Source organism: Homo sapiens, chromosome 15, assembly GCF_000001405.40.
Source record: "Homo sapiens chromosome 15, GRCh38.p14 Primary Assembly".
In the NCBI taxonomy this organism is placed as follows: Eukaryota; Metazoa; Chordata; class Mammalia; order Primates; family Hominidae; genus Homo; species Homo sapiens.
The window spans coordinates 92,605,691-92,630,715 of NC_000015.10; the positions used below are offsets into that span (position 1 = coordinate 92,605,691).

At 49.3% G+C, this 25,025-nt stretch overlaps 1 protein-coding gene and 1 long non-coding RNA gene across 2 annotated transcripts in view, besides 3 other annotated features; one reads left to right on the forward strand and one right to left on the reverse strand.

Annotated features, from left to right (window-relative positions):
• Positions 2,060 to 2,260: a silencer, noted in NCBI's record as "peak2428 fragment used in MPRA reporter construct". NCBI's record gives its function as "represses an SCP1 promoter by STARR-seq MPRAs in K562 erythroleukemia cells {active_cell/tissue: K562}" and the evidence as "EXISTENCE:reporter gene assay evidence [ECO:0000049][PMID:32103011]".
• Positions 7,857 to 8,358: an enhancer, noted in NCBI's record as "H3K4me1 hESC enhancer chr15:93156777-93157278 (GRCh37/hg19 assembly coordinates)". NCBI's record gives its function as "activates a minimal SCP1, AML or CMV promoter by ChIP-STARR-seq in naive and primed H9 embryonic stem cells {active_cell/tissue: H9 hESC(naive and primed)}" and the evidence as "EXISTENCE:reporter gene assay evidence [ECO:0000049][PMID:30033119]".
• The window catches only part of FAM174B (family with sequence similarity 174 member B), a 38,328-nt gene continuing 25,060 nt past the window's right edge, over positions 11,758 to 25,025 (reverse strand). Inside the window, exons 2-3 of the mRNA NM_207446.3 lie at positions 24,524 to 24,655; positions 11,758 to 13,769 (exon numbers count right to left, since the gene is read on the reverse strand). Coding sequence (NP_997329.2) covers positions 13,766 to 13,769; positions 24,524 to 24,655 — 136 coding nt within the window. The 3' untranslated portion in view covers positions 11,758 to 13,765. The remainder of the gene's footprint in view (positions 13,770 to 24,523; positions 24,656 to 25,025) is intronic.
• Positions 16,516 to 16,655: an enhancer, noted in NCBI's record as "active region_10112". NCBI's record gives its function as "activates an Ori minimal core promoter by ATAC-STARR-seq in GM12878 lymphoblastoid cells {active_cell/tissue: GM12878}" and the evidence as "EXISTENCE:reporter gene assay evidence [ECO:0000049][PMID:35858748]".
• Positions 17,815 to 22,369, forward strand: LOC124903559 (uncharacterized). The gene is made up of 3 exons (XR_007064768.1): positions 17,815 to 18,073; positions 18,595 to 18,728; positions 22,232 to 22,369. It is a non-coding gene; the product is annotated as an uncharacterized LOC124903559 (long non-coding RNA).

The following is a 25,025-nucleotide window of genomic DNA, read 5'->3' on the forward strand; positions in this document are numbered from 1 at the left end:
AGGGGTGGGAGGAGTCATTGAGTGAGAGGTCGAAGAGTGTGAGCAAAAAGAGCCACGGCAGCAAAAGTTTGAGGCCGGATGCCAACCTGGGGCTAAGAGAACATTCCAGTGGCAAGGGGGCAGGAAGAATGTTTTTAAAAATACTTGTGTGTGCGCGTATGTTTGCCATATACAAGGCTGGGTTTCTCCAGAAAATCCCCAGTTCTCCACAATACCAAAACACGACCCCTAAGTATTTCGTGTAGTTGAGTTTTGACTGCATCTTACACCCAGATGATGGGGTAAACGAGCAGACAGATGTACAGAAGGCAGAAACCAGGAGGCTGTGACGGCCACGCAGTCACAAGCCTCTGAGGAAAGCATGCAAAGTGGAATTGCATCTGAATTCCCCAGACCTTAAATCCCAAGGGAGCCTGGCACCCAATAGGCAATGTCACCACTTAAAAGTGGAACTTGATTTGGAAGCTGAAATGGACCTTGGCTGGAAAGATCCATGCATTGGGAGATCAGAGGGGGAAGCATGGCGCGTTCAGGATGAATTGAAGAAGTTAGCTAGGCAGAAATGCAATGGCTGTGCCGGAAACCAGTGCAGGAAGAGGCAAGAAGAGCCGGGAGCAGGGTTCAGAGAACCGCAAAGCTAAGTTAAAGAGTTTGGACTTTCAACCTGTTGGCAATTGGGAACCACCAAAGGTTTGTTTGACCTGGGCCAAATTAGTGCTTGAGAAAAATGCCCCCAAAGAGGTGTCTGAGGGGCCCTAGAGCAGAGCAAAGAGTGCCTAGAGGCCAAGAGACCAGTTAGGAAACTGCAGGATCTCAGGGCCTGGACAGAAACAGGGGCTGTCGGGGGGAAAGGAAGGACCAAGACTTGGAATGGCTGGAGAAGTGATGGGAACCTGTGAGCCTCTCACTGCGGAAGGAGAGGAGAGGAGAGGACAGGCAAAATCCTGAATCAAAGATGATGCAAATGATGCTGGGAGGAGATTGGAGGGCTGGGGAGCCCTGGAGAGAAGCAGGCGGGGCTTGGGGTATGTCAGCTGGTAGGGAAATCTGCCAGAAAAGCCCTTTGGGAAGAGAGGCAGGAGGATCTCTTGACTTCCACGCTGCTTTTCTAGAGTGCAAATTTCCTCTGTCCTCTCAAGTGTTCAGAAGTGCCATGCCTTGTTGCTTTGGGCTAAGAGAGGTCTCTGTGTGTCTCATTGGACAGTGATATGGGGCACACGAAAATGCTCCCTCGGAGGTGGCGGGGTCAGCCCCCCGCCCGGCCAGCCGCCCCGTCCGGGAGGTGAGGGGCGCCTCTGCCCGGCCGCCCCTACTGGGAAGTGAGGAGCCCCTCTGCCCGGCCACCACCCGTCTGGGAGGTGTGCCCAACAGCTCATTGAGAACGGGCCATGATGACAATGGTGGTTTTGTGGAATACAAAGGGGGGAAAGGTGGGGAAAAGATTGAGAAATCGGATGGTTGCCGTGTCTGTGTAGAAAGAGGTAGACATGGGAGACTTTTCATTTTGTTCTGTACTAAGAAAAATTCTTATCCTGTTGATCTGTGACCTTACCCCCAACCCTGTGCTCTCTGAATCATGTGCTGTGTCCACTCAGGGTTAAATGGATTAAGGGCGGTGCAAGATGTGCTTTGTTAAACAGATGCTTGAAGGCAGCATGCTCGTTAAGAGTCATCACCACTCCCTAACCTCAAGTACCCAGGGACACAAACACTGCGGAAGGCCGCAGGGTCCTCTGCCTAGGAAAACCAGAGACCTTTGTTCACTTGTTTATCTGCTGACCTTCCCTCCACTATTGTCCTATGACCCTGCCAAATCCCCCTCTGCGAGAAACACCCAAGAATAATCAATAAAAATAAAGAAAGAAAAAATAAAAAATAAAAATAAAATAAAATAAAATGCTCCCTCGGCAGCCATCCCCATACCCCCTGACTTAGAGCACTTATGAGGGGACCTGAGCCAGGCAGCTCCCACCTGCCGCCCGTCCTCTTTGCTGGCTCTTCCTTGGGGTCAGACTAAGGACCACCCTGCTGTCCTCCCGACCTGCTGAGAATCCACTCAGCTGCCCATCTACCCATTTACCTTTTCTCATATACCATGTAGAGCCCCACATACAAAAGGAACCTTACACATCTCAAGAATCCAATGGACAAAAGTCTGCAATTCCTCATGGCATCTGCAATCCCCCAACTGCAGGTCTACTGTTCTCATGCACCCGTCTCAGGATTCTTTGCATCGACTTGGAAAGTTTGAACTTGTTGCTTTGTGGACATTGCACTCGAGGGCTTCAGAATACTTTTCTTCCTCTCCTCTGCATCTATACCTCTCTTGGGCCAATTTCTGTCACTGCCCAGCTAGTTTCCAAATACAGTGCGCCACTGCCATCATTCCCCTGTATAGTGATTATTTGGCCTAAAGCTCATCTTTCTATAGCCGAGAGTGAACCCCAATCTCACACATGAGTACATGCAGCATCTTTCTATGTGTGTTAACTTCCCCCTGGGCCCTGGTCTTTCCTTGATGCACTGGCTGCTGGGGAGCCCAGCAGTGCCTGTTTTCCCTGCGACCTACCCATCACACTTGACAGGCAGGACATCATGGCAAGACTTCCTCTCTGCCAATCTGTCCTGCAAGACCAGGCAGGCCCTGCAGGATACACTCCGTCCTCCTCAATGACTAGACCATTTTCTTTCGGAATAAAGCTGTTTTTTCACCTGTTGGCTGCTGAGAAAGAAAGGACACTCTGTAGTATTTTTTGAAGTCTCTTCCACTCATCAGAAAGACCCAGCCAAATATCTGAGTGGGCTTACGACTTACCATCCTGTCAAACTAGGTGGCCCTTCCTCAGACATCAGGACCATCTTCTGGCATCTGCCATCCTGGAAACCCTCTTCCTCCAAATAGAAATTTGCCACCCCATCCAAGTCTCCTCCAGGGTGAGTGACATCCTCACGTGGGCCTTCCTGGCCTTGGGTATCTGGAATTGTCTGCAGGTTCGCATGTGTGATCCCCCAGCCAGGGCATGTGTGTCTGGTCACTGTGATTTTAATACAGGGGTTATCTGAGAGGTGCTGCAGAAGAGAGGGGGATTGGGGGACAGAGAAAACCCCGAATCAAAGATGATGTGAATGACCCTGGGAGAAGAGTGGAGGGCTGGGGAACCCTGGAGAGAAGCAGGTAGGGCAGGGGCTACTCAGGGCTGTGGCCTACACCTCCAGGGCTAGAAATCAGAAGCTGGAAGTAGGGTGTAGAAAAAAAAAGTAGCCTAAAAGTGTCACTCTTTAAGATGTGCTTCCTAGCCCAGCGGCACCAGCAACTCCTGGGAGCTTGTTGGAAATGCAGAGTCTCAGACAGCAGATCCACTGAATCAGAACATGGCATGTTCCATCCAGGCTCCCGAGGTGACTTCCGAGATGTTTCCACACTACCTTAACTTAGGCTCCGCGGGCCTCCTGCAGTTGCTGCTGGGCTGGTTGGTGGCATCCCTACACCTGGCTCCTCCCACTGGGGCCCCTGGTGCTCTGGCCCTGGGCCTCTGACACCCAACACCCTGTCAAAGAATCCCCAGCAGGGGAGCCTCCTCCCCACAGCTTGCGTAGGCCCTGCTGGGGCCTCCAGACCGAGAAACACGCAGCTGAACCCCCACGGCAGAGGCCACACTGGGTCTGACCATCCAGTTGGGGTCACCGCCCTACACAATGTTTCCCGGTCCCCCTCAGGGTGACGTTGCAGGGTTTGACTCTTGGGTCCCTTGCTCAGTGAGCTTACAGTGCTTCCCTTGAAAGGCACTGTGCTGTGAACCTGCGGCTTATTTACAGACGTGTCCAAATCCGTTCTCTGGTCCTGCGTGCAGTGGCCACGCCCTTCATAGTCTGAACGTGGGTGACTGTGTATACCTGATATGCCCCAGATATCCTCCTCTGAGGCGGGCAGGAAAGCCACGAGACACAGGTATAGAAGGAAGAACTGCAGGGAGAAGCAGCCAGTGCCCTCCCACAGACACCTGCTTAGGGCTCCAGGACAGATGAGCAGCCTCAGAGACGGTGTTCCCTCCCGTGGAGAAGATGGCTGCAATTCATATGAACTCTCCAAGCCCACGTGTCCTTGGGTATGGAACAAGGACGCTGAACTCCTTGATCTCCAAGGGCCCCTCCAGGGTGAACGCCCACTCTAGAAACTCCCTCGTTGTCATCCTGCCCAACAGGGTCCTGTCCCTGGATACAGACTTTCAGGTTGGAACTTTCCAGGCTCTAGGATCTTGTCCAGAGGATGACTATTACTACCTCAGAAAAAAGATACATAAAACTCTGACAAATGATGTAGACTCAGACACAAGCGGCATCCAAAGGCAGTGGTGCCGGGCCAATTAGACACCTGCGAGCAAATAAAATTGAATCCATACCCCACGTGATGGCTGCTTCAGGGACAGGGTTCAGGAAGACTCACTGCACGTCAGGGTCACTGGGGGACTTGTAGCCTGCAGTGGTTGGGGGAAAGCCAGTGGGGTTTGGTAGGCTTGTTGTGGTCAAGGAACTTCAGCTCACATTGCCCACTGGGCCCTCGTTTGACAGGCTCCCCGTGGGCAGCAGCTGCCTTTTGTGGGCTCTGCTCAAATGACGCAAGGACAGTCACTGAGCTTCTCTCTGCCAGGGGAGGGGAGAACACAGGTCAGAACTGCACATACTCTGGTCCTGATCGCTGGGCTTGGCAGGGAGCAGGCGCTCCCTGGTTGCCATGCAGAAACAATGACGGGTCACAGCAAGTGGGGCCCAGCGCCTAGGCGGGCTGAATCCTTCTGTTAAGGTTCAGACTGAAAGAGTGAAAGGGGGTCCAAGGGGAGGAACAAGGGGGAGGAAAGGAGACTACCCGGAATCTGAGCTCTTGGGAGCCAGGTCAGACCCCAAGGCCTCTCCCTTTGCACTTCTCCATGAGGCCTCTCTCGTCCGTAGCTTTTGCCAATACAGGTTGGAGACGGGTCGCTCAGTAGTGCAATCCCACAAAAGACAATGGGAAGGCTGTCTCTTAAAAGGCCATTTTAAATATTAATGGTCATGGGGAAATACTCATAAAATTAACTGAAAAAATCAGGTCAGATGACCCACTTTTGTAGAGGAAACAATGGCAAGGCACACACAAGGCCAGAGGTCACTCTTTGTCCAGGTAGAGTCAGTCCCTCTCTTGTCAGGCATCGGATGCCCCATGTCCCTATCACAGCACTTTATTCTCTGTCATCCCTGGCAGTGATGTATCCTGGTCCTCCCCAGATTCACTTTATTGAGCCTTCCAATTAGCACAGTGCCTGGTACAATAGGAGTTCAATACATGTTTGCAAATGAGTGAGTGAAGGATGGATGGATGGGTGGGAAGGAGGGGAGGAGAGAGAGAACGGAGAGGGAGAGAGGGAGGGAGAGAAAGAGGAAGAGGGGAGAAGGAAGGAAGGAGGGAGGAGGAAGGGAGAGGGAGGGAGGGAGGGAAGGTGAGGAGAGAGGAGAAGGAAGGAAGGGAGGGAGGGAGAGAGTGAGGGAGGGAAGTGGGGAAAGGGGAGAAGGGAGGAAGGGAGGAAGAGACAAAGGGAGGGAGGGAGGAAGGGAGGGAGGAAGAGAGGGAGGAAGGGAGGGAAGGAGGGAGGGAGGCAGGGAGGGGAAAAGTTCAGAGAGAAACCTACCAAAATGCTAATCAGGGTTATGATCTAGATACCTTATTTTATCTTCTTTATAATTACCTGTCTTCCAAGTTTTCACCAGTTAAAAGATCACTTTTATAATAAATATACTTTTTATCAAAACTCTGCTATTTGATTTAAATCCATTTGAAATGGTTTATCATAACTCCAAGTCCTATTTTTAACTAATGAATCTAGAAGACACTGGAATTAGTTCATGTCTATCAAAGTGTCAAGTCTTGAACCAACATTGGGACACATGATCTGACAGTTTCCTAAATGCTCATTAAAGAAATGGGACTATTTGGAATCAAGGTGCCCCACAAATCTAAACAAGACCCCCACATCTAAGGACGAAGGGGAGCACAGGTCCTCCCCTTAGGGAAGATGACAGCTGCATTGGGGACGTGGACAGTAACCCTTAAGATGGTGGGCCTGTGTCACCCAAAGTTGCCACCTCTAAAGTGCCCATAATAAAGGTGGCAAGAGGGACATCTCAGAGGGAGATCTCAGACATTCTACTGAGTATAATATTCCATCCAGCCCAACTTTGCTTCCCTGAAGCTGAATTCATTCTGCTTTTAAGAAATGGATATTGTCGCCAGCCTTGGGGCTCACACCTGTAACCCCAACACTTTGGGAAGCTGAGGCAAGAGAGAGGATCACTTGAGCCCAGGACTGTGAGGCCTGCCTGGGTAACAGAGTAAGATCCTGTCTCTAAAAAAAATTAAAAATTAGCTGGATGTAGTGACACGAGACTGTAGCCCCAGCTACTTGGGAGGCCGAGGCGGGAGGATCGCTTGAGCCCAGCAGGTTGAGGCTGCAGTGAGCCATGATCATGCCACTGGGTGGCAGAGCAAGACCTTTTCTCCCAATTAAAAAGAAAAGAAATGGAGGGACTGGACTATGCAGGTAAACAAAAAAGCCCTTCTGCGGCCTCCTCTCCACCTTTATCCTCCTCTCCTCTAGCCAGAGATACATCCATGGGCCCCACTCCCCCAAGCACCAGTCACCACCAATCTCTTAGCCCCAAGCAAGAGAACAGCCTCAGGGGACCCCCATGCCTTAGCACTCTCTCTGGGCCTCTGTAATCTCACACAACTTTGTAGCTCTCACAGGGCCTAGAGCTGAGGGACCTGGTTGGGATCAGTGCCCACCCTTCTGCAAGGCTGGCCCTGACCTTAGGCCAAGTCCCAGCACTGGGTGGCAATGTAGCACTGTGGGTAGCACCCAGGCCTCCAAGCAGCAGACAGACCACTGCTGGCAAGGGATCTGGGTGCGTTTATTACCAAAGCCTTGGTTTCCTAGCTTGACAAGTAAACATCCCAACAGAGAAGCTACTTTGTACTGTTGCTGGGCACATTAATGCATTAGTGCTATGCGCCTGGCAGTGCTTTAAAGACATTAAAACATCCAATTCATAATATCCAGATGAGGTAGGTACTGCTGTTGTTTCTCTTTTACAGATAGAGAGAGGGCATCACAGAGAGGTTAACAGATGTGCCTAAGGCCACACAAGTGGGAAATGTTAGAACCAGGATTCCAGCCCAGGCAGTCTGGCTCCAGAGTCCAAGCTGGTCTTACCATGCAAATGAGTGTCTTTACAAAGCATGTGAAGTTCTCAGCGCAATGCCAGGAACATATTAAAAGCTCAATAAATAGTAGCTGATGCTCTTGGTTGCTGGGATGCCTCAGTAAAGCAGATGGCGGCCACCCTGTGCTCTGTGCACAAACCTCATCTCCCTCCTTTATGAGTCAGGAGTGGGCCTGTCTCGTCCACCTTTGCAGTCCAGCAGGGCCCAGCATCACACCTTGTGGATCTCTGAAAACCTGCTGGATGTATAATAAGATGACACCCATTTATCAAGCACCCACTGTGTGTGCCTTATCTCATTCAACCCTCCCACCGCCTCATGGGCAAGCTGGGTGTTTCAGCATCTCGGCAAAGGGACACTGCCACTGCACCAGTGTGGGGTGAACAGTGGACAAAAAGGGATTGATTTGCCAGGCAGTAGAGACTGCCCTGGAGTGGACTTCAAATGAAACAGAGATTATTTATTCCATGTCATTGGTTACTTTATGTGGTGCTTACTTTCTATTTCTTCTTCCCTTTCTATTCCAAAACGTTTCCAGGAAGTATTTTCCATGGATGGTGATTCCAACTAAAGGAAAGAGAGAAAAGTACACTGACGTTGACCAAGACCTTGAGGGGACTAAGAGGGAAAGTGAGAGCATCACATAACGAGAGCTGACGTCAAGGCTGGCCCAATCAAGAAACGGCCTCAAAACCGTACAATGTAGGAAACAGAATCATCACAAAGAAAAACAATGTGATCTTGGAACAGTGGCGACCTCAAAGCACATCTCTACATCTTGATAAGAAAAAAGAGGAGACGTAGAAAATCCCCCAGAACCAGACTCCAGTTTGGCTTACGGTCTGTCATAACATCACAGGCACCAGGAGTGGGCTCTTTGGTGATGAGAGCGGAACTGAAAATGGAAATGGAAATCAAACACACAGCCCCAGTCAGGTCCCAGGTTAGCTGACCTGCTCCTAATGCCTGCTGGGCTCAGGCCAGGATATCGGTGGAGGCCCCTGGTCCGCGGCCCATTCCCCTTCTCTTGCCATCCCCACCTGGTCATTGTAACAAGGGGCCTCGCACATGAGTGTGGACACCCGGGGCTGCATGTTTGAGCTCCAACCATGTCCACGTCTCAGCCACAGCTGGCCATTCTCAGCCGAGGCATGGGCACACAAGTGGCCCCAGGGAAGATGAACTCAGTGCAGGCCCTGGCAGCTAGCAAAGGGGCATTTGGGCAGAGAATTATAGAAAAGGAAGGATCTGGGGGTCCAGGGGACATGTCCCTTTGCCCTGCAGACCTCTTTCCCCTTTAGGGAGCCACAGCCAGAGTGGGTGCCTCTTGGAACATATGACCTTATCTCTTTGGCCCAGAGATGACATCTTCTGCTATCCCAAGTGTGAGCCGTTTTGGTCTCAGAAGAAAAGTCCCCTCGTCTTCCTTTCAGGGAAAAGTGCTGAAGAGGGCAGGAGACTGGTGGTTTGAGACCTGCCCCTTAGAAACCATGTGACCCTGTGCCGTGACTGACCTTCCTAGACCCAGCCCTGTGTGTACAAAATGAAGACAAATACCTACCTCGCCACCTTGTTGGCAGGACTCAAAGGATGACAAAGTGCCAAGCAAATGGATGTTTTCTTATGGAGAGCCAGGGAGGTAAATATGATCCAGGGGAAACAGCCCTGGGCCTCTGGAAATGATCAGTCTGTTCCAGGAATAATACCTACCTAAAGGATGCTGTTAAGGACTGAATAAGGAAGTGTGTGTGCAAAGGCACCTGGCACCCAGGAAGACCGCAAAAACTATTCATGGTGGAGGTGGTGGTGCTAGTGGCGACCATTCCTGGTGGTGCTGGTGGTGCCGGTGGTGCCAGGCACCTGCAGCAGGTATTTGGCTAAATTACGTAATTTAATGATCACAGTAACCAAAGAGGTGCATTCCTATAGCGCAGATGGAAAAAGTGGGACCAAGGTCACAGGGTTCATGAGTGAGCAGTGAGGCCAGGAAACACATGCCTGTCTGTCTGCATCCGATTCCTCTTCCTGCCACACTCAGCACCACCTGGCCGGTTGTCTTGCAGACTCTGGGGATAATTCATTCACAACACTCTTACCTGCTCACAGCAGGAAGCCTGTTCACAGCACCCCAGGCCAGATCAGCCATGGAGACATTTATACTAGACACTGTGGGCCACCTGGATGCCAACAGACACACAAGAGCGCCTTGTGTTCCCATCCACATCAACTCAGCTCATCAAAAAACCCATCCCAGGGAAAATGAGCTTGCTAATAAACCAACTAACTAAGCCTAACAAGAAATAACAGCAAATTTTGAGGCACTTTACAAGGAGAGTCACACCCAGGTACTTGTTGGACCCAAGAAGACTCAGGTAGCAAGGCAGGGAGTGGCTCATGACAACCGCCCGGAAGAGTCACGTCTATTTAGTTCTCGAAAATAATGGAAAACAAACTCGGTTTTCGCAAGTGGTATGCTGTGTACACTGAGTCCACATCAGGTGTTCTTGAATTCTCTGATAAATAAAAACCACAAGCAACTGTGGCACCACCGGGCTGGAGGGAAGCGCCGGCTCGCACCTGTCAATACGAGCAGCCTGGGGGCCTTATGGGACAGACCCTTTTTCTGAACTAGTGGTGCTGGAGTGAACACCTTCCAGGTCCCCAGGGCTCGCCCCTCACCCTGAAAAGATTAAATCATTTATTTATAAGAAAATATCTAACCCAAATACAGCAGGCACTGGGGGGCACAGGGAGCTGTGGTTACAATGCAAGCAACATCTGGACCTGCAAACTCATGATGCTGCCACAAGAAGCGTGTGCAAGGAAGGTGGGTGGCTGGGGAGGCAGTCCAGCATCATCCCCAAAGTCTTTACTACTGCTCTCCCCTCTGCTGAGTCACAATGCTCTTTGTTGGTGATGCTTGTAACATAACCCTCCTCTCCCCTCTTCAGAAACTGGCAACACCAAGGTGCCAATCTTTTTTTTTTTTTGAGATGGAATTTCACTCTTGTTGCCCAGGGTGGAGTGCAGTGGCGTGATCTCAGCTCACTGAAACCTTCGCCTCCCAGGTTCAGGTGATTCTTCTGCCTCAGTCCCCTGAGTAGCTGGGATTACAGGCACCTGCCACCACACCAGGCTAATTTTTATATTTTTAGTAGAGATGGGGGTTTCGCCATGTTGGCCAGGCTGGTCTCGAACTCCTGACCTCAGGTGATCTACTCACCTCCCAAAGTGCTGGATTACAGGCATGAGTCACCACGCCCAACCGCCAATCTCTTTAAATGGCTTCAGCTGCCAAATCTCACCAGCAAGTTTGGGTCACTGATGCATCCCCTACCCCTCTTCTCCTACAGACCCTGATCTTCTGGGTAATTTCCCCTGATTTCCTTAAAATGACACCGACAGCCAAGAATTTCACCAAAGGGGGCAAGCACGGGACACAAACTTATGGGTGCATCCAGGGCCCTTTGAGGATAATGTGCCATGTCCGTATAAAGCATCCCCCATCCCCACAGGGTGTAAGAATAACCATACAATTCAGGCTTTTATGACAGGAGATGCAGGCAGTAGAGGGAGGGGCTTTGATCTTAGGACTTTAACTTACTGGCTTCCCGTAGGTGTTCCACGGCACAGCAGGGGAGACAGATTTTGTAGAAGAGGTCAAGGTGAGGATGGCGCCTCAACAGAATCTTCAAAACCAAAAGGCAAGTTGCGGTACCCGCTGACCCTCCGCCATGCAGAGACTGCCGCGGACGCCGAAACACCCTCCTCCCCGTCAGGCTGGCTTGTCCCCGGGCATCTGAACGAGCCAACCTGACAGGATGGGTGCTCAGCGGAGGACACTCTCTGAGAAGCCTGAGATGATGGGGAAACCCACTCTCTAGGGCTGGCTTCCAGCGCAGCTGTTTGGAGAAAGAGCTACCCTGGAGAACCTTAGTCACTGCTACAGTGGTAGAGAAGACGGAGCACAGGAGTAGCTCCTCAGGGAGGAGGGACACAGACCACACCCCCAGCTCCTTGGTGACCTCCAAGGGAACCAGCTGGACGGCAGCAAATGGGCTTTTCCCCCGGCTTTTTCTCAGCTCGCTGTGAACCCGGCCCAGATGCATCCCATGCTTACTCATAGAGTAAAGCAAGCCAGGTATGAGGCAGTTACAAGCCAGCAGTTTTTTATGTGATTGATTCTATCTTCTCTGGAGATGCCCCAAGATTCTCTGGAAACAGTTAGGCCTCAGTATTTCCTAGCCAAGGAGCAAGCTTCCAGGAAATGAGCGAGTGAGCCTCCAATTGTATATGTAGACGTAAAAACAGCATGCATGCCCCTCCACCACCAAGCCTTTTTCATTTCCAAGCTTTTCTCTAATCACCAGGATCCAAACACCTCCAGCCCAGCTCCCATCCCCGCCCTCCTCCTCAGCCTTGGGCCCACCCACCTCTGTCTTCACAAAAGGTGCCCCGCTGGCCGGCACCACAGAAAACATCCAAGCCCAAGGTACTCATGGTTTGTGTGTAAAGGGTTTTTATTGGAGAGCCTGTGGCGCTGAAGTGCCACCAAGGATTTGGAAGGTCACTTTCAGCAGCCGCCATTTCTGCCAGGACCAGTGGCAAGCACCTGGCAGATGGAGCCCGGGTGTTTCTGCGTAAGGCAGAGGAATCCAGCTTTTCCATGAGATTCAGCTGCAGTTGTCGAAAACCCTGTGTGAGCCAGCAGTTCCAGTTCAAAGGTTGAGGGGGCGAACAGCTGCGAGGTGGCCAGGCTCCCGTGAGTCACCACTCAGGCCTGAGTACACCGTGGAGAGGAGAGATAAAGCAGCCACGGCTGTTCTGTTGCCAGTCCCACCCCTCTGGCAAACAGATGGGGGAAAACAGAGAAGGAAAGTCAACAAAGAAGGTGAAATGCAGGGAGCAGAGACTACACGCAGGCCCCCCGTGGCTGGCAATACCATGCGTGCTGGGCCGGCTGCGCCACCCTCACCCAGGGCTTCCCACGGGCTCTGCTCTTTCCTGCAGAGGCGAAACTGCCTTCCTGGCAGGCGGAGGCTGCCGAGCTCCCATGCCCCTTCCCACATATCCCAACTCTTCTCAGAAAACTGAAGAACCGAAGATGGAGGTGAGTCAGGAAAGGCTGGAGTTTTCATCCAAAAAAAAAAAGAGCAGGACAATAAACAGGCAAATACACAAACCCTGGAGCAAAGCCAGGAAAAAAGGGGGAGATAAAAAATAAAAAAATAAAAAACACCTTTCTAGAGAGAGCAAAATCCCAGGGTCCCGAAGGCACTGCTAATAGACTAATAGAAGCATCTTTGTTGCAGCCAATCACCTCTAGCCTGGGAACACCGCTAGTCAGGAGGCCTCAATCAACCTGAGAAGTCAGCCCAAGGCCCTGTCTCCAGAAGCCAGCAGCAGATCCCTGGGTCATGTCACAGGCAAGTCCTCACTTCACCAGCTCAGAGGTGAGCCACTCTCACCTGAACCTCTGCCTTCCGGCAGGGACCTCCTGGGTCCTGTGGGGTCTCCTGGGTCCAGGTGGGTTCCTAGTCCAGCCCCGTCTAGACTGACTTCAAATATAGTCCCCTGACAGTGTGATTTTTTCCAGCCAGCCAAATCACCGTTCATTTTTAAAATGGTTTTTAAAAATTACATTTCTAAGGCAAACAACGTAGAACTGTGACAGAGCAGAGGAACAACAAAAAAGCACAAAGAATGTTGCTAATCACAGGCTGCCTAGCACTTTCCTTTCCCTTCAGAGAAGGAGAAACTGTTTTATAGGTATCACACACGTGCACACGCACACACGTGCACACACACACACACACACACGCACAGTTTTTCCCTGATACTGGAAATTCTTTGTGAACTAGCCACGCTGATTTCTGCTGAACCTTTTTTTTTTTTAAAAAAAAAAAAAAAGGAAGAAAGAAAAGGAGCCACAGACGTGTCCAGGTCTGGAAGGGGCTGACCAGCTCTAAGCACATCCACCTTGAACTCTGACACAGGTAACGCCAAAATGAGGCCAGGACCTGACCAAGCCAAAAAAGCAGCAAAGGATCAGATGGGGTCCAATGTGTAGATCCAGTAGAGAAGAATGTCGGAAATTCTAAATACACAGTTGGACATCCTTCAGGCTTGTTTTAGATTCTTGATCCTCCTGATCTCTTTTACTATTGTCAACAATTGTCTTAAAAAAACTTCTTTAAAATCAACATGTTTCTACCCTTTGCTCCTTAGCAAGGCACAAAGCCTCTTACATGGGGAGTAGAAGTAGGGGGCACTTTAAAGGGATGCCCAAAGGGTGGCAGAAGCAACTCCATTGTGGTGACGTGGAAACGAGCTTGCCAGTGACAGTCTGAGCAGATGCCTGACACGCACGATGGAGCTGGGGTTTTATACATAACGTTCGTTTTGGTTTCAACACCTCCGACGCAAGAGGGCTTCCAGGTCCAGTCCTTCACACCCCAGGTTGCAGCTGACCAACTTTCCACAGGATGCCACCAGGCTGGGAAACAGGTTTTACCTAAAAGAAAGGGAAGGACAAGAGTAAGCCCCTTCTGGCAGAGCCTCGCACCCATTCTGACCCCTCCTGAACATCTCTATCCCTCACCCTCTCAGCCAGTGAAAAGGCCACAGTCCCCAGCCACAGGACCTTTGAGCGTGCTGTCTGGAAGGCGCAATCCACTCTTCCAGCAAACCCCCTCCCTCCCCACAGTTCCCAACTAAGGATCCCTCCCCCAGCTCCCCACACAGACTCCCTAGAACACAACCTCTTTCTCCTTATATCCCTCTCCTTGCCAGCACTTCCAGGGTGTTTACACTAGGGGTTGGAAAACTTCTTCTGTGACAGTCCAGAGAGGAAATATTGTAAACTCTGCAGATCCCACAATCACGGTGATAACTCCTCAACCCTGCTGTTGGGGTGGAACAGCAGCCACAGCAAGAAATGCTTGGCCATGGCTGTGTTCCAGTACAATGTTATTTATAGACACTGAAATTTGAATTGCATGTTACTTTCTCATGTCATAAAATAGTATTCTTCCTTTGGTTCTTTTTCAACCATTAAAATGTGAAAATCATTCTTGGCTCCTGAGCTGTACAAAAACAGACAGTGGGCTGGATTTGGCCCATGGGCCATAGTTTGCTGACTCCTGGTTTATGTATCTGAGTAGTGTTGGTCTCTTGCTTAGACTGGGAGCTTGAGACAAAAGCCACATCTAAGCTTCCTTACCTTTAAACCCCGGGCCCACACCACAGTGTCAGAAAACATAAGAAGTACAAGAAATAAGTTTAGGCCAGGCACGGTAATCCCAGCACTTTGGGAGGCCGAGGCGGATGGATCACAAGGTCAGGAGATCGCGACCATCCTGGCTAACATGGTGAAACCCCATCTCTACTAAAAATACAAAAAATTAGCCGGGAGTGGTGGTGGGTGCCTGTAGTCCCGGCTACTCAGGAGGCTGAGGCAGGACAATGGTGTGAACCCGGGAGGCAGAGCTCGCAGTGAGCAGAGATCGCACCACTGCACTCCAGCCTGGGCAACAGAGCAAGACTCCGTCTCAAAAAAATAAGCATAAGTTTAAAAACTAAATCTGTGGCCAGGCTTGGTGGCTTACGCCTGTAATCCTAGACCTGTGGGAGGCCACGGCGGGTGGATCACTTGAGGTAAGGGGTTCGAGACCAGCCTGGCCAACAAGGTGAAAACCTGTCTCTACTAAAAATACAAAAATTAGCCAGGTGTGGTGCTGCACGTCTGTAATCCCAGCTACTTGGGAGGCTAAGGCATGAGACTCACTTGAACCTGGAAGGCAGAGGTTGCAGTGAGCTGAGATGGCGCCACTGCACTCCAGCCTGGATGACAGAGCAAGACTCTGTCTCAAAAAAAAAAAAAAAAAAAAAAAACTGACTCTGCTCAAGACATCATCTAAAGGGACTTAGAAAAGGAGGGAAAATTTGACCAGTTAAAGCTGCCACCATCACCTCCTGATGTTTGATTATGGGCATTATATAATCCCATGAGCAAAAATAACAAAGATTTAATAGAATTTACAAAATAATGAACTTCCTGTCATAATATTACATAATACCAAATATATTACCATAACAGGTAGCTATTTACTAGAAGATGTAAACATCCTATTTTTAGGAAATAGATACTTAATCATTTGCAGGAAAGGGCCATGGTATACATAACTTACCCTCTAATGGTTTAGTAAAAACCATTTGTGTGCACACACATACATATACACACGGATGAATCAGAAAGCAAACAGGCAAAAAATGTTAACAGGAAAATATGAGTTAAAAGTATAGGGTGTTCCCTACGCTATTTTTATTTTTGCATGAAGTTTAATTTTTTTTCCAAATAAAAAGTTGTTTAAAGAGAAAACATAAGCCAGGCACAGTGGGTCGCGCCCGTAATCCCAGAACTTTGGGAGGTCAAGGCAGGAGAATCGCTTGAACCCAGTAGTTAGAGACCAGCCTGGGCAACATACTGAGAGCTTGTCTCTACAAAAACTACAAAAATTAGCTGGACATGGTGGCTTGTGCCTGTAGTCCCAGCTACCCAAGAGGCTGAGTGAGATGATCACTTGAGCCTGGGAAGTTGAGGCTACATTGAGCCAATATCTTGCCACTGCACTCCAGCCTGGGTGACAGAGCAAGATCGTCTCAAAAAAAAAAAAAAAATTGAGTATCTTCATATTAGCCACTAAAGTCCCCTACTCAACAGACTAGAGAAAGAGAAAAAGAAATCTCCAGCAAGCCATGTCCAAGTTGTGCAGGAGGCTGGCTTTCTTCAAGTGACCCCCTGGCCCCTTCTGTGGGTTGGGGAGTCGGGGGAGCTAACCTCACAAACCAACATCTCGGAGCCCAAGCACTCACACCCCCCACTGCAAAGAGGAAGGGACTAAGGACCCCCAACATTAAGGTTCCTACCAGGTCTGATTCCACCATCAGGCCTTCCACTGCATCTTGCTGGAAGGTCAATGTCGAGGATGAAGGGTGGGGGCACAGGAACTGGAGAGGAGCAGTGAAGATTTTAAAGACCAAGAATCGGAGCTGAGGGCAGGGACCTGATCGCCATAGCTGCGCCAGAGCAGATCTGGCCACGGCAGGCCTGCGGGCTCTGGGGAAAGCAGCCGGCAGAATCAACGGAGATGCAAACTCTGTACCGCTGCCATGCTGAAATTCACCTCCGTAAGTGTCTGGGCATCCCACGGGACTGCTCTGAATCTTACGGGGATCCCCTACCAGGCTCTCTGCCCTCACCTCACCCCCAGGTTGCTGTCTACATCCGTGTGCTTAAGAAACGCCCACACATACACAAGGTAGGGAGCCACACTGCTCATCGCAGAATCCTTCACGCGCCTCCACGGGGAGAAGTCCACCCGCACACACCAACGCCTGCCCAGGTCAGGCCTGGACACCAGCTCTCTGGGTCTCTCCAGGAGGTGGTAGAGCCATACCCCAAGTTTCAGCCATGTAGTTGGCTGGGCCTTCAGGCTCTCTGGGGTGACTGGCACTCAGGAACAATACTCCAGGGACAGTGGAGGGGACAAGCTGTCTCCAGAGGAGGCTGGCTGTAAAGTCCTGGCTCTCTCAATGTCATCTAGCTGTTTCCCTGTGGCCATCTATTGGCCAGAAGCTTTGGGGTTCCCCCGAGGAGGGGCTTGGGGGGCAGAGGCTCAAAGCTGCCACTCACTGAAGATCCCTATGCTGGCTTAAACGTCCCTTTGCCTGCACCTGCTGTTACTTCTCCCTGGAATGCCCTCACTGCTCCCTGCATGTTGAGCCACCTTGGGCTCACTTCGTGGTCCTCTCGAACTTGTAGGTTTCACCACCTCTGGGAAGAACTTATTGCCCCTTCCTGGCTGCCCACAGCACCCTGTTCCTTCCTCTGTGAGAGGGCTTGCCAGGTGGTCTTAGAAGTGGCCATGCTTGGCCAGGTGCGGTACCTCACACCTGCCCAGCATTTCGGGAGGCCAAGATGGGCAGATCACTTGAGGTCAGGAGTTCGAGACCAGCCTGGCCAATATGGGGAAACCTCATCTTTATTAAAAACATAAAAATTAGCTGGGCGTGGTGGCAGGCGCCTGTAATCCCAGCTACTCAGGAGGCTGAGGCAGGAGAATCACTTGATCCCGGGAGGCAGAGGGTGCAATGAGCCAAGATTGTGCCACTGCACTCCAGCCTGGGCAACAAAAGCAAGACTCCATCTCAAAAAAAAAAAAGAAAAAAGTGGCCATGCTCCTGCTGTCTCCCACTCTCAACACAGGCCCCTCGAGGGCAGGGCCAGGCTTACCCAGCCTGTACTCATGGTGAAGAGAATTATCAGGCTTACCAACTAGACATGTGCTAGGTGACAAGCAGAGATTCCAAGAGGCCTCTCTCGGCCCCCTTCTCATCCCCCAGAACCGCCAAACTGCTAGTGACATTCCTGCTTCATCATTAACATAAGTCAGAAAGAGTCAATGCTGACCACCACCCCCACCAAAATCTCTATAGGAAGTGAAGGCATATTTAGCTGCCACCGCCCAGGCTTATTCAGATTTCCCACCGTGCCGCAGGATGACACTGGGTTACAACCATCCCACACGAGGAGAGTGACATGTCCCAACTTGCTTCTGGCCCATGTTTTACAAGAAGCTTGTCCGGCAGGCAAAATAGCCCTCAACACAGGAACACCTGTTGCAGCACCTGTCAGTAGCGTCTGGCACCCTGGCAGCTGACGTCTCAGTGCAGCCGGCAAGGACACTCTGGGAAGAGGACGCAGTGGCCTTATGAGTGAACGACGGAGAAGCCGGAGGGAGGAGGCCTGGCCTGTCTGTGAGTATGTCTGAGACAGAGAAACGTGTGGACACCACCACCACGTGACAGGGAAGCCCCTGGCAGTTCTACTGCTTCCATCCAGGGACACACAAGAAAAGAACATCTGAAAAACATGGCTTGCTTTTGCAAAAGCATTGATACTTAGGATGATTTGTGTTGTTCATCTTTCCTTCCTTCCTTCCCTCTTTTCTTTTTCTTTCTTTCTCTTTCCTTTTTGTTTATTTGATCAGATTCCTGTTCACGTAGGCTCCATCCTCATAGACATAGACACAAGAATTTTTAAGGTGCCCTGGCTTTGAGTGAGACACCCTAAATGAAAATTGCCCGCAGGCTGCCAATATTGCTTTCCAAAGAAACAAAAATTCTCCATGAGATGCCCATTTTTAACACATATCCTCTGCATTCTGCAAGGAAGAGGACTGGCAGAGGTTTATTCACACTGGTCTGGGGATGGCTTCTGATGCTGTTTCAGATACAGTTACCCTGCAGGTCACCGGCTCCTCTCTGGTTCCTTCCAGGCCTTGGAAGCTAATGATGCCCATTGTTTCTATACCCACCGCCCAGGCAGCTGTCCATCTGCCGATGCTCCTAACAGTTCGCCCTCAGAAGACCACGAGGAAGCCTGGGGTGCCTGGCCATTCAGAGGTCCTCAGTAAGTAGAAGCAGCTCCAAGAAGTCACTGCCTTGAGTGTGCTTAGCAACTGCCATGAGGGCGTCCATGGGGACTCAGAGCTCCCGGGTAGCAAGCCAGGTCTGTTTTCCCATACTCCCTGCCTACCCTGCAGAGGCCTCATGCTGCAAACTGCACAAAAATGCCCTTTGTTTCCAAGACAAGACACCAGCCAAAGCCCGCAGCATTACAGTGGAAATCTCGTGGGTTTCTAATTATACTCCCAAAGGAAGCCCTACCCACAAGAGGGTGGGAAGCAGGGATTTCTAGAATGAACGTCCACACCCCCACGGGGCCACATCCTTTCCACACATAAGAAGCCGGGACAGGGACCTCCCTCTTGGTGGGGAGGCAGGGCTGGCAGGAGCAGCGCGTTCTCCCAGCAGTGTGCCTTTGGGCTGCGCCTGTCACAGCTGCCGGGCCGCCTGCCACACACACGGGAGGAAAAGCCCACATCTGTCTCTTCCTGGAGGACGCCTAGAGGGTGTAACAAAGTCTTCTGTAATAAACCGGGAATGCAAAGAGGCCCAGAGCATCCACACAACTGCACACTAGGCAACAAAGCTCAAAACACATGCAGCCGAAACCCAAACGCCTCTTGAAAGAACCATTTCAAAACCCCAGGGCACTCTTGTACTCTGGTTAGCTATCATTTCTTCTTTCTAATTAGTCTTTTTAAGTACAGAGTTAGAGATTCATTTCTATAGAACTCCCTCCCTCCCTCCCCAAACTCTGGCCCTACGCACTCAAGGTCTTATCTCCTACCCTGCCTGTATTCTTCCTCCTTCATTTCCTACCTGGCTGAAAACTTCGAGAAAAAAAAGCCTGTCTGATAGGCACAGGCTCTAAGTCACAAGATGTTACCAGAGAGTTACCTGGGAAATAAGAAGCAGGTTACTCTGCCTTACTGCCCTGGTGCCAAAAACATGATTTTCCTCTTTCCACCCAATCACAAAATAACCCAAAGCCATGATTCATCTGATTTAAATGTAGTCTGTTTCCTAGAGAGAACTGAAACATTTGGTTGAGTTATGTCTAAATGGGAAAAACAAGTACCTGTGAACAGATTAGCCATGTGCAGACAAAGAAGTTCACAAAAACACTAAACCAAACATGCAACGTCTGAAACTCTTTGTTCTTTCACACCTATTGGCCTGAAAAGTTGCTCATGATTCATTGTTTGGGTAGAAAAACGTGCCAAAACAGCATGTATAATACAGTCTTATTTCTATAAAAAACAAAGTTTCACATCTATATACTCACACACTCTAGTGGTTACTGTTAAGTAGTGAGATGACAAGTAACTGTGTCTTTCCTGTTTATTATCTGTATTTTCTACAGCTTAACATTACCTCTGTAATAAGAAAAGCCAGCACTACTTAGTCTTTCCGAACAGTCAGTCATCTTTAGGCCTGAGGACTGCAGTGGGCTTGTGTCTAATGACTCACTTCCAAGTTCACTCACATTCTGATTTTATTTCAACCACAAACAGCACAAACTTCTCAAGGAAGGGAAGCAGAAAAGGCAAAAGCAAAGCAAAAGAAGAGATAAAACGTTTAAGGACTTGGGAGCAGGGACAGGGACTCTTCTTAGTCCCAGATGACGTATCTACACAGAAAACCCAAAGATTCCACATTTATCCTACAAGAATTAATAAAAGTTTAGCAAGGTTGCTGGATTTTTTTTTTTTTTTTTTTTTGAGACCAGGCCGGAGTGCACTGGCGCGATCTTGGCTCACTGCAATCTCTGCCTCCTGGGTTCGCGCCATTCTCCTGCCTCAGCCTCCCAAGTAGCTGGGACTACAGGCGCCAGCCACCGTGCCCGGCTAATTTTTTGTATTTTCAGTAGAGACAGGGTTTCACCGTGTTAGCCAGGATGGTCTCGATCTCCTGACCTCGTGATCCGCCCGCCTCGGCCTCCCAAAGTGCTGGATTATAGGCGCGTGCCACCGCACCCAGCCAGTTGCTGGATTTTTTTTAAAAAAATCAGTATCTTTTAAAAATAACTGCAATAAACAAAAAGTTTAAAAATAATATTTTTTAAGAGACATCAAAGTCATGAATCATGAGATGGCGGCTTGCAGAGAAATCTGTTTTTGACACTGTCCCCAGAATGACAGCAGAGAGAAGCTGGCAGCCCTAGAAGCAGAAACCCAGGCATGGAGACTGGTCAGTGGGACAAAGGGGTTCTTTACGGCCGATGGTCTGGAGCGGGAAACTTATACAGAGGGATTTGCAGGGTCCTGAGTTTCTGCCTAGAATAGGGGCAGAGGAGACACTACTAAGGTGCTTCAGGGAGCTAACACTATTCCTGTATTAAAAACCACCAAGTGCTGGCCGGGCGCCATGGCTCACACCTGTAATCCCAGCACTTTGGGAGGCCGAGGCGGGTGGATCACGAGGTCAAGAGATCGAGACCATCCTGGCCAACATGGTGAAACCCCGTCACCACTAAAAATACAAAAAATGAGCTGGGCATGGTGGCACATGCCTGTAGTCCCAGCTACTCAGGAGGCTGAGGCAGGAGAATCGCTTGAACCCGAGAGGCAGAGGTTGCAGTGAGCCAAGATAGTGCCACTGCACTCTGGCCCGGGCGGCAGAGCGAGACTCCATCTCAAAAAAAACAAAAAAACAAAAAAAAAACCACCAAGTGTTGAAGGGCCCCGCACTATCGCTGTGTCAGATAGAGATGGAATGCACATCATTAAAGTGGCCAACGAAAATGACCCAGAGCGTGCCCGGAGACCAGGTGTCTCACTAACTTTTGCCCTCGCAACACGCCAGCCAGCAAGCCAACCTGGACTTTCAAAACACAAGCTTGGACTTATCTGTTAACTTTAACACCTACCAGGTGGTTTACCTTTAGTAGTTTGTTTGTTTCACAGCCAGCAGCAATGCCAATATGGCAGTCATTGTCAGCCTAGAAAAGGAACTCGCTCCATTATTTGAAGAACTGAGACAAGCTGTGGAAGTTTCTTAATGTGACACTCGTTTCAACGTGTGCCTTATCTTCATCATACCAGACACAATGTCAATCCAGCAACCAGGCCACAATAATATGGACGTCTATGCCCTCAGGGAAAGGCCCCTTTTCCCACCTTCTAGGAAACAGCCTATAAAGAGAATTTCTGAGCAGATTGATTGTCATATTTCCTTGTTTAGGGTCTTCTCTTATTCAGTGGGATGTGGAGACACCACAAAAATAGTTCTGTCTATCATGCTTCCCACGGAGTTAGTTCAGTCACCAAAGATTGATGAGACGCTGTTCACTGGCTCAGAATCAAAACAGTACATTGATCCACTCGAACCATTAAACGCTCCCTATTGTACAATATTCCCAGCCGTGCAGGAGGAAGCGGACTCTTTTGACTGTGAATAGTAATAAGGACATGGTTTTCTTCACATTGTATTTTACTTCTTTGTATTGAATGTGAGACAGATAAAATGGCTTAGCGATAAAATCAATACAATCACTAACTTTCCTAGGTACACGGACATCCCTTGGTATCCTCAGAGAATTGGTTCCAAGACCTCCTGCAAAGACCAAAATCCACAGATGCTCAAGTCTTTTATATCAAACGGTGTAGTATTTGCGTGTATCCTATGCACATTCTCTAGTATACTTTAAATCATCCCTAAATTATTCCTAATACCTAATACAATGTAAATAGTTGTTACACTGTATTGTCTTTTGGATTTGTATTATTTTCATTGTTGTATTGTTTTTTTCCCAAAATTTTTTTTTTTGAGATGGGGTCTTCCTCTGTTGCCCAGGCTGGAGTGCAGTGGCATGTTCATGGCTCACTGCAGCCTTGATCTCCCAGGCTCCAGTGATCCTCCCACCTCAGCCTCCCAAGTAGCTGGGACTACAGGCATGCACCACCATGCCTGGCTAATTTTTGCTTTTTTTTTTTTTTTTTTTTTTGTAGAAGTGGGGTTTCACCATGTGGTCCAGGCTGGTCTCAAACCCTGGAGCTCAAGAGATCTGCACTCCTCGGCCTCTCAAAATGCTGAGACTACACGCATGAGCCACCATGCCCGAGCCCAGACATTTTCAATTTGTGGTTGCTTGAGCCTGCAGATGTGGAACCCTCAGGTACAGAGGGCCAACTGTGCATTATTTTGTGGTATGAATAAATATTACTAATTGATTTGATTCTTTTCAAAGGGTGCTGCCCTTTACCTAAAATGCAAATTACAACTAATGGGATTTTTCTCCCATTCTGTTATCCATAACCAATCCGTTTTAATGCTTTCAGGTTCTTTATAAGATTTAGGTGTGATTCACTAACAAACTGAGCTTCCAAAACCAATATGTATGTAAACATGATAATACAGTCATTTTCTCCAGACATGAGTATAAATAGTACTTTAAAGTAAAAAATATACATATCAAAATGTAAAACACCAATGAGAATATATCTTAACAAAAATGTATAAAACATTTATACATAAATTTTTTAAAGTACTGAAAAACATTTTTTTAAATACCTAATAAATGGAAAATCATTCCATATTCATGGATTGGCAAAGTCAATGTAAAAGTGCTGATTCTCCCTAAATTGATCCACAGGCAATGCAGTTCCAATCAAAATCCCAAACATTGTCTTGTTGAGTCTGACAACTGATTTATGCAGAAGGACCAAGGACCGCCAAGGCTGTGCTGAGGAACACAGGTGTGGAAGGCTTGCCTTCCCAGACATGCAGAAGCCATGGGATCCGGGGAGCCAAGATAGGGACCAGCCTGCATTTCTGTTCCACTTTTACTACTAATTGGGACTTTGGCCAAGCAATGCCCTTTCTCTGGGTCTTCGAGCCCTCGTCTCAAAACTATGCTCATCCTCAGCTCTTCCATTAAGAAGCTCACATATTCAAAGTACACCTCAAAATGATCTGAAAACCCACACTACAATCCTAAAGTCACAAAGTCATTCTGACTTTCCTAGAGAAAGCCTTTAAGAAACACACCTGCCTGTGGAGCTCATCGGTAAACTCCATCCAAGCAGGAACGCCACCCACCCAGCCACCCACGTCCTCAGCTACTGACATAAGCGAGGCTGAAAGAGAAGTTTCTGTTTGGGTGCCTGGTGTGTGGCACACACGGCTGCTTGGGCCGGACCCCTGACAACCAGTGGACAACTAGCTCATTGTCTGAAGCACAATCCTCCTTTTCCTTCTATAAAGGTGACTTTGTGTTCTCCTTTGGGAAAAGTAATAAGCAATTCTCTGCTGGGTTTCTGGGTGCAGTGTGTTCTAGGAAGGGATCTGATATGGTTTGGCTGTGTCTCCACCCAAATCTCATATTGAACTGTAGCTCCCACAATTCCCACGTGTTGTGGGAGGGACTCGGTAGGTAACTGAATCACAGGGCTGGGCCTTCCCGTGCTGCTCTCGTCCTGACAGTGAATAAGTCTCACAAGACCTGATGGTTTTCTAAGGGGGAGTTCCCCTTCATAAGCTCTCTTGCCTGCCATCATCCACGTAAGATGTGACTTTGCTCCTCCTTGCCTTCCACCATGATTGTGAGGCCTCTGCAGCCATGTGGAAATGTGAGTCAATTAAACCTCTCTTTATACATTTCCTAGTCCCAGGTATGTCTTTATTAGCAGCATGAAAATGGACTAACACAAGATCAGAGCAGGTCTCTCCACGTGCAGAACACCCCAGGACCCAACACTTCACTAAAAAACAAGAACACATGGACACCATGCCTGACCTCGAGGTCCCACCAACCCACTGCCCCAAGCCCAGGAGGAAGCCTCTGTCTCCACCCTGTACCTGTATTTGATGTCGAATACTGTGGAGTCCTCATCTTCATCATCCTCTTCATTTAGTGGCGCCATTTCCACTCGCTCTGCTGGAGTGGTGATGATATCATACTTGCGTGTCTTCTTTAACCTCTTTCCCGACCTGCAGGAGAAGAAGCACATTCATGAGAACACAGCTGGGAGAGAAAGAGTCACTGGGCCCCAAGCCCCAGAGGACCCGACAGCAACTTAGCAGCTGGTGTTTAGTCAGGTTTCCTTCCTCTGTCTGAGAGTGTGAGGATCTGATGGAAGGCAAACCACACTGCTGCCTCCAGCCTGGCTGCTGAGACTGCTCCCAGGAGATTCGGTTAACACCCTGCTGCCCCACTTATGGTCATGGGACCTCAAGTGAGTGACCGACCTCGCTAACCCTTAAAGCAGAGGTCCCTGGTCTGAGCACTAAAAACTCAGTAAGCAAGATAAATAATACACAAATGCAATATATATTTTATATATATATTATATAATTATAT